This window comes from Homo sapiens, chromosome 11 (assembly GCF_000001405.40).
Source record: "Homo sapiens chromosome 11, GRCh38.p14 Primary Assembly".
NCBI classification, from domain to species: domain Eukaryota; kingdom Metazoa; phylum Chordata; class Mammalia; order Primates; family Hominidae; genus Homo; species Homo sapiens.
This window is the reverse complement of record NC_000011.10, coordinates 48,216,545-48,228,643: the sequence shown is the minus strand read 5'-3', so window position 1 is coordinate 48,228,643 and position 12,099 is coordinate 48,216,545. Positions and strand designations below refer to the sequence as shown.

At 41.2% G+C, this 12,099-nt stretch overlaps 1 protein-coding gene and 1 pseudogene across 1 annotated transcript; both read right to left on the bottom strand.

Annotated features, from left to right (window-relative positions):
* On the bottom strand, positions 312–1,214 carry OR4B2P (olfactory receptor family 4 subfamily B member 2 pseudogene; annotated as a pseudogene).
* Positions 10,905–11,834, bottom strand: OR4B1 (olfactory receptor family 4 subfamily B member 1). The gene has a single exon (NM_001005470.1). It carries the CDS (start codon positions 11,832–11,834, stop codon positions 10,905–10,907), a length of 930 nt encoding a protein of 309 aa, NP_001005470.1.
* Positions 11,835–12,099: the final 265 nt, after the last annotated feature.

Below are 12,099 nucleotides of genomic sequence, written 5' to 3'. Positions count from 1 at the left end.
AAATAAATCTAAGGTCACACAGCTAACAGATGACAGGGTAGGGGTTTCCAATCTAGATAATTCCTCCTTAAAAGTCTATGCACTTTGCACTATGGACTACTGAAGAAGAGAAGAAAGTTTTCAACATTCTCCAAAATACTAACAACTATTAGCTGTCTCTGATTGATACCATGGAGTATAAGCAGCTCATCCGAAATACAACAAAAAATATAAATAAGCTAACTTTTGCTCTATTCCCTCATAGTTAACTAAAATCAGATTGCATATATGGTCTCTCTCTTTGTGCTATTTTTTTTTCATGTTGTCATTTTATTCCATTCCTGAGTTCACTGTCCTGCCCAACAATCTCCTCATGGTGATTTTCATCTCTGCATTCCCAAGCGTGTAGATGAAGGGGTTCAGCATGGGGGTGATGACCACGTAAAATACAGCCACGAGTTTATCTTTAGTAAAGGTGGAGGAGAGTCACACGTAGAGGAAAATGGCAAGTTCAAAATACAAGATAAGAGGCACAGGTGGAGAGGGCTTTGCACCTCCCCTCTGCAGAATGGTTCCTCAAGTTGACTAGGATGATGATATTAAGAGGACACCAAGATAAGGAAGAAGACAGATACTAATTCACTGTTGGCCAACACAATAACCCCCTCCACAAAGGTGTCAGTGCAGGCAAGCTTGAATAAGACCTGGAGGTCACAGAATGAGTGGTCAATCATGTTGGGACCACAGAAGAACAATTGGACAGAGACAAGGATCTGAACCATTGAGTGAATTATGCCCCTCAGCCAGAAACCAGCCACCAGAAGGTGACAGACAGGCAGCTCATGATGGTTGTGTAGTAATAAAGTTTGCAGTTGGCCATATATTGGTCATTGGTCATCAGTGGGAGCAGAAAGATCCAGGGGATGCCAAAGAAGTGCAAGAATATCTGAGCCAGATAGCCCTCCAGAGAGATGGCTTTAATCTTGGCAAGTAAGTCTGTGATGAATTTAGGGACAACAGTGAAGTAACTGATCTCCATCAATGACAGGTAGCTCAGGAAGAAGTACACAGGGGAATGCAGACTCTTGCTGATACTGACCGTCAGAACGATGAGGCCATTGCCCACCTCCATGGCCAGTACACGGGGAGAAACACCACAAAGCACACTCTCTGCACTGCTGGATCCTGGAAAAGGCTGGTGATCATTGACTCAGTCACATTATTTGTACTGGCCATGGATTCAATGCAGGTGTGCTGGATGCCAGGCAGTGAGTGCCCTGCAATAAAACAATGATCACAACACTAATTCACCTCATTTCTAGCACTTTAGAGAGTGTAAGCCACTCTATAATACACTTATTACTCACTCATTTTTAAGCCACTGTGTATTCATTCAGCATTAAATATTAGCAATCTAACACGTGTGTGTGTGTGAGTGTGTGTGTGTGTGTGTGTGTGTGTCTACAGAGAGACACAGTGTCACCCAGGCTGGAGTGTAGTGGTGTGATCACAGCTCACTGCAGCCTCAACCTCCGTGGCTCAGATGATCCACTTCAGCCTCCCAGATAGCTGAGACTATAGGTGTGCACCACCATGCCTGGATAATTTTTTATACTGTTTGTAGAAATGTGGTTTCACCCCATTGTCCAGGCTGGTCTCAAACTCCTGGGCGATCCTCCCGCCTCAGCTCCCCAAAGTGCTGGGATTACAGGCATGAACCACTGCACCCAGCCAATTTTAACGTATTTAATTTTATTATTAGAAAATGAAGTTGAAGAGAAATGGTTATTTGCCCAAGGTCACACAGAAAGTAGTGAATTCTGGGACCCAGGACCAATCTTTCTGACTCTCAATCCAGGGTCCTGGATTGGCAGTCAGCAGCAAAGCATATGGCAGCAAGAGTAAGGGTTTCTCTCACACATGGACACAGAGAGGGGAATAACACACACCAGGGCCTGTTGCAGGCTGGGGGTGAGGGGAGGGAACTTAGAGGACAGGTCAATAGGTGCAGCAAACCTCCATGTCACACATATACCTATGTGACAAACCTGCACATTCTGCACATGTATCCCAGGTTTTTTTAGAAGAAATAAAAACAAATTAAATTTAACATTTTTTTAAAAAAAAAGGGGAGGTTTCTCTCTAAGCTACTTCGCTGGAACAAACACCTACTGAGAGAACCTCTTATACATCTAAACACTCATCAGATTACACAGAAGAATACAGATCACAATACATACCTTAAGCTAACAATATCATGTGATTCAAAACAATATTCTCTAGATGAAGGTGCCCACTGGGAATTTTTCACCACATCTGATCCCTCAGAAGTAAGATTAATATATATACATGGGCCAGGTTCAGTGGCTCATGTCTCTAATAGCAGCTCTTTGGGAGGCCAAGGCGGGCAGATCACCTGAGGTCAGGAGTTTGAGACCAGCCTGGCCAATAGGGTGAAACCCCGTCTCTACTAAAAATACAAAAATTAGCCAAGCATGGTGGTGCATGCCTGTAGTCCCAGCTAGGCAAGAGGATGAGGCACAAAAATCGCTTGAACCCAGGAGGCGGAGGTTGCAGTGAGCTGAGATTCACTGCACTCCAGCCTGGGCAACAGAGCGAGACTCCATCTCAAAAAAAAAAAAAAAAATATATATATATATATGTGTGTGTGTGTGTGTGTGTGTGTGTGTGTGTGTGTGTATGTGTGTGTGTATATGTGTGTGTAAGTTCATATATAGTTCATATATATATGATTTGATACACTTTGATTCTCTGCTATAAAATGTATCCCCATTTTTTCCCATTATCTCCAATTTCATATGTGAAATGTTTTTAAAATATAATTTTAAAGAACTAAAAATATACCTTGAATAGTAAAGAACAGAATCAACAAAACAAAAGTCGGCCGGACACGGTGGCTCACGCCTGTAATCCCAGCACTTTGGGAGGCCAAGGTGGGCGGATCACGGGAGATCGAGACCATCCTGGCTAACACCGTGAAACTCCGTCTCTACTAAAAATACAAAATAGTAGCCGGGCGTGATGGCGGGAGCCTGTAGTCCCAGCTACTCGGGAGGCTGAGGCAGGAGAATGGCCTGAACCCGGGGGCTGGAGCCTGCAGTAAGCCGAGATAGCGCCACTGCACTCCAGCCTGGGCGACAGAGCGAGATTCCATCTCAAAAAAAAAAAAAAAGTCAGTGATGTGGACAGAAGGAAACAAATCAGTGTGTGTCAGAATTCCTCATGTAAGGGCACATGCTGAAGTTTAACTAAAGTCCTTGAACCTTTAAACATTGAGAAATGAGTATTCTAGAGCAAGAAAAGTAGTACAGAAAGAGACCATGGCATCTCAGAGATGCAGAGAGTATCCCCGATCCTTGACTTTTTAAACCCTAATTCAGCCCATGTGTACTTGGATACCAGGAACAGCCCCTTATTCCTCAAATAAATTCTTCTTTTTGTCTAAGCTACTTTGAACAGGCCTCTGTTTCTTGCAAGCAAAATTTCTATATGTAAACCTAGGGGAGAAAGACATAAGTCAAACGAAAGCCACTATTACAATAAGAAAATTCAAATGGAATTACCAGTTAGAAAGCACAATTGAAAAATATTACAATCTACAATAGGTAGAGAGATTTTACTCCAACTTCCTCTGTTTATAAATGAGGCAACAGAGGCAGGGCAGAATTAACCTGCTTCTCAAAGCCACACACTAGTTATTTGCCAGATTACTAACTCAGAACCTGTGCTCTTTCAACATTAGGCTGTCTTCTAATGGTACTGGATGGTGGTTGCTACTGCAATTCAATGATCAGAACTTGTCCCCAAGGAAAAATCACCAACGGTCCTGGGAGCTTTTAGAAAACAAAGTAGATGCTGTTTAAGATAAGTCACACAAATAAGGAAAATTCAGGGGATCTGCATCATGGTTAATATTTGAATTTAGAACATCTAAGAAATAAGCAAACACCATAGGAAGCAGCTAACCCAGAGATTCTCCAATCCTGTTTTGATGTAGAAAACCTATCCCCCCACTCAAAGTCCAAGGGCTATGATTAGATGTCAAGATCCTTGAACTATTTAAAACAAAGTAAGCCACATACTATCATCAAGAGACTGACTTCCCCATGGAATTTCTCTTCTCTAGAGTAAAACTTTGTCAAATAACTTGAGGAAAAGTATGAAATCGGTTTCAATTAGTTTAATGAGATTTCCATAAAGTTTCTGCAACCAATAACAAGGTAGTAGGAGAAGAAAGTTGTAAGTAAGACATGAAGAGGACTTTTTGCCCAGATTTGACTACTGAGAATAAATACAAGAGTAAATAGAGAAGAAAAAGAGGACTGGACAGGAAGTCAGGCTACCTGGGTGCTAGCTTGGGCCCAGTGGTTAACTATGACCATGCCATTTCTCCTTTTCATCCTCCCCTATTTCCACTTCTATATAAGATGACAGCATTCGTCTAGATTATCTTCATTGTGCCTTCCAATTCTAACATTCATGTATTCACATATAAAGTCACTTAGTCTGGGGCCAGGTGCAGTGGCTCACAACTGTAATCTCAATACTTTGGGAGGCTGAGGCAGGAGGATCACTTGAGCCCAGGAGTTCAAGACCAGACTGGGAAACATAGTGAGACCCCATCTCTACAAAAAAAATTTTAAAAAAGTTTAAAAAATTAGCTGGGCATGATGGCATGTGCCTGCAATCCTAGCTACTCAGGAGGTTGAGGTGGGAGGATCCCTTGAGCCCCAGAGTTCAAGGATGCGGTGAGCTATGAATACACCACTGCACTCCAGCCTGGGCCACAGAATGAAACCTTGTCTTTAAAAAAATAAAAACAGAAATCGCTTAGTCTCCCTGTGCCTCAGTCTCCCCATCAATGATGAAAGTGGGTCATAATCATGTAATATGATGAGAATTTCTTCTGAAAGAGATGTCATTTGCCCACTCATTCATTCTTCAACAAATAATATTGAGTCCTATTATGTGCCAAGCACTGTTCTAGGTGTTGGAGATTTGGCAGTGAAGAAAAAAAATGCCTAGACTTGTGGAGGTTGCACCCTTCATATCCCCACCAGCACATAATGGAAATGGAGATAGAAAATAAATAAAACTTGATAGACAAATCAGATAATAATAAGTCCTATAGAGAAAAATAAAACAGATTGAGGATGATGGGGAATGCTGGTGGATATTATTTACATAAGGTCGTAAGGAAAGGTCATCTCTTACTAGGATCTCTGGCTGCTGTCTTGAGAATAATGAAGTCAAGTGGGAAATACAATGAAACCAGTCATGAGACCATTACAGTAAGCCAGTCAAGAGATGACTATGACTTGAGCCATCATGCTAGCAATGAAGATTTTAGGAGGTAGTCAGATTCTGGACATATTTTGAAGGTAGAACTAACAAGATTTGCTGGTCTTTTATTGCAAGGAGTGAGAAAAAGAGAGAAATCAAGGACACCTCCAAGGTTTCAGCAATTGGACCAGACTTGCATTTACTGAGCTGGGAATGACTGTGGGAAAAGCCGGGAAGTGGGGAAGATGGTTCCGTTTTTAGACACATTAAGTGAAGTTACCTTTCAAAATCCCCAGCAGAGGTGTTGAGTAGACAGTTAAGTATATACATCACAGTTCAGGGAGGACGTTCAGGCTGAAGCTATAAATTTGAGAGTCATAAACTCATGAATGTTATTTAAAGCTGGGAGACTCAGTGGGAACTCCTCGAGTAGGTAGGGCAGGGGTTTGAAAATGAAGCCCTGGGTCAGGCAGATGCTTAGAAATTGGAAAAATAAGAAGGCATCAGCAAAGGAAACTGAGAAGAGTAGCCAGTGTGCTGGGAAAGGAACCAAGAGGGAATGGGATCATGGAAACAAAGATGTATAGTTTCCAGGAGAGACTAGTTAGCTGTGTCAAATGCTGCAAAAGGTCCTTGTAAGAAGTTACTAATCATGAGGCACGAAGTCACACAGGCCTGAAGTTCATTCCTGAAGTGCAGGTGGAGAGACAACGGGGCAAGGTGGACTGGGAATGGCACAGGCTGGCGCTGTGCCCCTTCTCTCCAGCCACCTTGGCACCTCAATGGGGTGAAGAGTAGTGAGCCGATGACCATGTGAGGATGAGTTAGAAGAGCTGGCTAGTGAAAGCCTGAAATTAAAGCCACAGAGCCTTCACTGTGCCAGGGACGAGGGCAGTCTTGCTGCTGACCCTGATTAAGAGGTACAAGTTTGAAGCAGAAGTAAACACTGAAGGCTCTAGACTTTTGCTGCCCAGTTTGGTAGCCACTGGTCATGTGTGACTATTTAAATCTACATTTTAGTTAATTAAAATTAAATTAACTAAAATTTAAAATTTCATTTTTTAGTCGTATTAGAAATATTTCAAGGGCTCAGTAGCCACATGGCTAGGGACTAGCGTGTATTCACACGATAAGAACACTTCCATTATCATGGAAAGTTCTATTGGCAATGCTGATCCAGACCACAGCAGCTTCAGAAAACAGAATGTCTATCTAGAATGCAATCTCCATGAAGGCAGGAAAGGTCTCTGGCCTACGTACCACCACATCTCTAGAACAACACCTGGCATGTAATATATGCTCAGTGAGTCTTGTTGAGTAAATTATTAAATGACCTTAAAAGCCCTGAAATGAGTGAATAATTAAGTGAATTAGGCAACAATGAGACTCTGTGATATTGCAAACCACATTTATGAAAAAATTTTAATTACACGGAAATTGTGTAAAGTGCCTGAGACTATACGCCAATCCTTACACCTATTCTCTTCCTCTTTAGGAACAGAACAGAACCCTGAGTTTTCACTGCACACAACTCCACACACTATAAGAGATTATAGTTGGCAGGGTGTGGTGGCTCAAGCCTGTAATTCTAACATTTTGGGAGGCTGACAGGGATGGATCACCTGAGGCCAGGAGTTCGAGACCAGCCTGGCCAACATAGTGAAACCCTGTCTCTACTAAAAATACAAAAATTAGCCAGACGTGGTGGCACACATTTGTCGTCCCATCTACTCAGGAGGCTAAGGCACGAGAATCGCTTGAACCCAGGAGGGAGAGTTTGCAGTGAGCCAAGATGGCACCACTGTACTCCACCTGGGTGACAGAGTGAAACTTTGTCTCAAAAAAAAACAAACAAAACAAAAATTATAGTTCCCTGCCCCCTTTGAAATTAGGTTTCACCATGCTACTAATCGTTATCAAGATGAAAGCAAAAGTGCTATATGGCACTTTTGGAAAATCTAAAGGGAAAGTGATCAGTTTTTCCGCCTCCTTTCTCTGCTTCTGTCCCCTGGAATAGAAATGCAAAGCTAGAGTTGTGTTGTCCAATATGTCATCCACATGTGGCTATTGAGGCTTAACTTATTTAAAGTAAATACATTTAAAATTCACTTCCTGGGTCTCACTAGCCATATTTCAAGTGCTCAACAGACACTACGATATTTTTTCCCTATACCATAATGCTCAGAAGCATTGCCATATTGAACTGCACAGATATAGAATATCTCCATCAGAGCTGGACTTTCAACCTCTGAACTTTTTTAACTCTATCTCATTAAAAGTTGCTTTTTTCCCTGTTATATGCAGTCAAACCTATACCTAAATGAATACAAATAATTAATGGACAAAGGATACAAAATTATGTATCTGAGTAGTTTACAGCACTCTACTAGTTTTTCTTTAAAGAAAGCATGTTATATTGATTCTCTTAAAAATACATTTTTAATGTTGTGATAAAATCAACAACCAAGAGCTAACTACATGCTCTCTAGTGCTAAGTGGTATAATTAGATTATTACTACTTCTGTTCATTGAGAAGACATTTTTAAAATTTTATGACATTCTCTGTCTCTTAAAACAATGAAAAAATGTTTTCCTTTAACTTATGTGCTTCTTGCAGCAAGGCCAGAACAAAGTGAGTAATCAGCTCTCAACAGACCTAAGTCTCAACTCTCTTGAGGGTTGAGAGTAGGTGACATGATCCTTAAGAATTTTGACCATTCAATTAGAATAGATATTATCTGCCTGTGCAGTATCCAACCACTCAGAGTTCACTGATGGTGTTCTATCCATAGTTCTCAGAGAGGAAACCAAACCTGCCCATGAGTAAGGGACTCCTACCACAACCTGCAACCTAAAGTCCTAGCCTGCTTTAATACAAGCAAGATATCAAGAGAAAGGAAGGGTGCCTTCACTGTGTTTCATTCTGGAGCAAATGCTTTAAAATATACATTAACAAGATATAAAAGCATTAGCATAAAAGATTATAGGGAAGCTATTTTACAGTCAACATCTATTTAACAAATACTAAGTGAGTACCTATGATGCACCAGGTAGATGGCCTAACAGAGAATGTTTACGTTCAGAGAAGCAACGTGGCATGCGACAGAGAAGGTCTATTGAACTGCCTTAGAATGCTTGAACACTTTTGGGGTGGAATCAAGGCCTATTCTGAGTAGCTCTACAGGACAGAATGATCATTGTGAGATGCAGTCATCACACAAAATAAAATTAATAATCAGTTCTAATGATGAAGATGATGATGGCTAATATTTATTGATGACCATGTTCTGTTCTAAAAGCTTTGCAGGTATATTATCTGATTTAATATTCAGAATAATCCCTTTTTTTTCTTTCTTTCTTTTTTTTTTTTTTTTTTGAGGCTAAGTCTCACTCTGTTACCCAAGCTGGAGTGCAGTGGTGCTATGTTGGCTCACTGCAACCTCCGCTTCCCAGGTTCAAGTGATTCTCTTGCCGTAGCCTCCCGAGTAGCTGGGATTACACGTACGTGCCACCATACCTGGCTAATTTTTAGTACAGACAGCGTTTCTCCATGTTGTCCAGGCTGGTCTCAAACTCCTGACCTCAAGTGATCCACCTGCCTCAGCCTCCCAAAGCACTGTGATTACAGGCGTGAGCCACCACACCCAGCCAGAATAATCTTATAAACTTCATAGTATTGTTAGTCATTATACTCATGCATAAACAGTTGTTCAGGGAAGTTAAGTACTTTGGATCCTGGGTTGTGGCTCACAGGCAATTGGAACAGCCTAACAAATGTCAGAGCCTGAGCTCTTAAAATTTCAACAGGAAGATGTGCTCCTCACCATGAAAGTGTTCAAAAGGAACCTATAAGAATTAATATAGCAAGGATTGTGCATGAGCCTAAAGGGTTGGTTATTCCACATGCACTTAAGAAGTATCAACTATGTGCATGATATTTAGAGCTGCAAAGAAGAAGGGACAGTGGACAGTCCTGCCCTTGAGAGCTTACAGTCTATTGAGAGACAAACACATCAAATAATCAGAATTGAAGTGATAGGGCAATAATATGTAAAAATGACTGCAGAAAGGAGACATAAATTCAACCCAAAGAGGAGGGAAGTCAGAGAAGGTCTTATAAGGAAGATGACTTGAACCTAGGTCTTGAAGAATGTATAGGATTTTGCCATACAGAAAAGGGAAGTAAAGTCATTCCAAGCAGAAGCAGCAACATTTTCTCAGGGATTAATGATGGTCGTCTATGGACAGGGTTAATGGGAACACTAAGGGAAGTGAGAAGTTTGCTGGTGCCTTTAAAACCACTATTTACCTACGTGTTCAACCAGCACCTATAATAGAAAGGAAAAAGCCCTAAGATATATAGCACACCCATGATACTCCATCCCTCTGCTAGGGAAGCTGCATGAATTATTTCACCTGATTCTCAAGAAAAAGCAGAGGATGTTGTGCAAATTCAATGCCAATATGTGCAATTTTAAAGCCAACAGGGAACAACTTTATGATATTCTATAAATTATGTACAATTATATGAAACAATGGGGTAAGGCAGAGATGCTGAGAAGTTAACCAAAAGTGCAGACACAGACGATCTCATCTCCCTTCACCAAGAAATACTAATAGGCATTAAAAGAAATGGCCTTGCATGGTCACTTAGAACAAGGGACAGGGTCTGGAGTAGAAGTATGCTTGGACAGTATCACTCTCCCCTTCATTCTTTAAGTTAGGCCTAATAAGCATTTTCTAACATTTTGTATTTTTCACATCTGGATAAGACTAACAATGTTTTTGTGAAACACTGTATTTGTGAAAATATTTGACTTGATCTTTCCATAGTGATAAGTAGAATCTATGTCATTTTGATATTATTTTTTTACAAATGTTGGACATTGTGAGAAAGACCAGACAGATTTAAGGACCATCTCTTGTGAAAACATATCACAAGAACTAAAAATGCTCCAGGGACTTTTCTGGGGCTTATGGTCAGATGGTCCATGGTACAAGATACCAGGAGCCAACCAGAAGAAAAGAAAAGTCCCTGGATGTAATTTTCAAAGACATACTTGTCAACATTGTAGATCAGATTGGTGCCCTCCTTCCTAAATATTCCCTGATAATTCCTCTGGTTGGTTTCCTTTTTTAATGAAATAGAGTTTGTTATCATGAGGGAGTTTGAACAAAGAGGGGAGAAAGAATGAAGGAAGAAAAGAAGGAAGGGAGGGAGGAAGGAGGAAGAGCAAAAGGGAGAAAGAAAAGAAGTGAGGAAGGGAGGAGGTAACAGGAAGAAGTGACTTAATCTAAAAAACATTTATCAACATGTTCTCCTTTGCATTTGCACTTGGTTTGAGGCTTCATATTACCCAAGCCCATGATATTGTTGGATATCATGAAGCCAATCAAGTTCTCTAAGACTCTGCGAGACTATCTGACCTCTGTCCTTCAAACATTACACCAGCATACCAAGTGTCTTTGGCTACTAAGCAGAATCACAGCAGCAGTATCATTAAGCCTTTATATTTGTTTCTGTCATTCTTGAATATCCCACTAAAATCAAAATCCATTTCAAGAACAGAGAGTAATCAGACATACATTTTGTATCACTTTTTCATCCCTAAGCTCTTTTTTCACTCCCTCCCTGGATTCTCCTTTTTGCTCCACAATCTTCTTATGGCGATTTTCACCTCTGCATTCCTGAGTGTGTAAATGATGGGGTTCAGCATGGGGGTGATGACCGTGTAGAATACAGCCACAAGTTTATCTTCAGTGAAAGTGGAAGAAGGTCGCATGTAGAGGAAGATAGCAGGTCCAAAAAACAAGATGACCACTGTGATGTGAGAAGCACAGGTGGAGAGGGCTTTGTGCCTCCCCTCTGCAGAATGGTTCCTCAAGTTGACCAGAATGACAATATAAGAGGACACCAAGATGAGGAAGGAGAAGACAGAGAATAATCCACTGTTGGCCAACACAATAACCCCCTCCATGAAGGTGTCAGTGCAGGCAAGCTTGAATAAAGGCTGGAGGTCACAGAAATAGTGGTCAATCACATTGGGACCACAGAAGGGCAATTGGATGATAACGAGAATCTGAATTATGGAGTGACAAAAGCCCCCCAGCCAGGAACCAGCCACCAGAAGGTGACACAGTTGACGACTGATAATGTTCATATAATGAAGAGGCTTGCAAATGGCCACGTAGCAATCATAGGCCATCACCACAATCAAAAGGATCTCAGCAACCCCAAAGAAGTGGAAGAAGAATATCTGAGTCAGACAGCCTTCCAGAGAGATGGTTTTAATCTTGGCAAGTAAGTCTATGATGAATTTAGGGGCGATAGTGGAGGAATAACTGATCTCCACCAAGGACAGGCAGCTAAGGAAGAAGTACATGGGAGAATCCAGACTCTTGCTGATACTGACCGTCAGAACGATGAGGCCATTGCCCACCACCGTGGCAAGGTACACGGGGAGAAACACCACAAAGCATACACTCTGCACAGCTGGATCCTGGAAAAGGCCAGTGAAAATCAACTCAGTCACATTACTTGTACTGGCCATGGATTCCACTCAGAGAAGACAGATCTCAGAGAAGAGCCCTGTGACAAAGCACATGCAATCATAACGCTAATCCTTCATGTTTATTTAGCACTTGCTTGTTAATAAAACCCTTTTATGCATATTTTCTGACTCATTTGTTTATTTATTTATATAGTCAATGTTTATTCATTTGGTGCTCAATAGCCTACCCTATGCAAGACACTGGTCAAGCAGCCCCACAAAAACTCTATGATCCCCATATAACAAGTAAGAAAACTGAGGCTCA

What these genes read in the sequence shown, in the direction of transcription:
- OR4B1 (NM_001005470.1), bottom strand. Translation starts at nt 11,834, where the DNA reads ATGGCCAGTACAAGTAATGTGACTGAGTTGATTTTCACTGGCCTTTTC.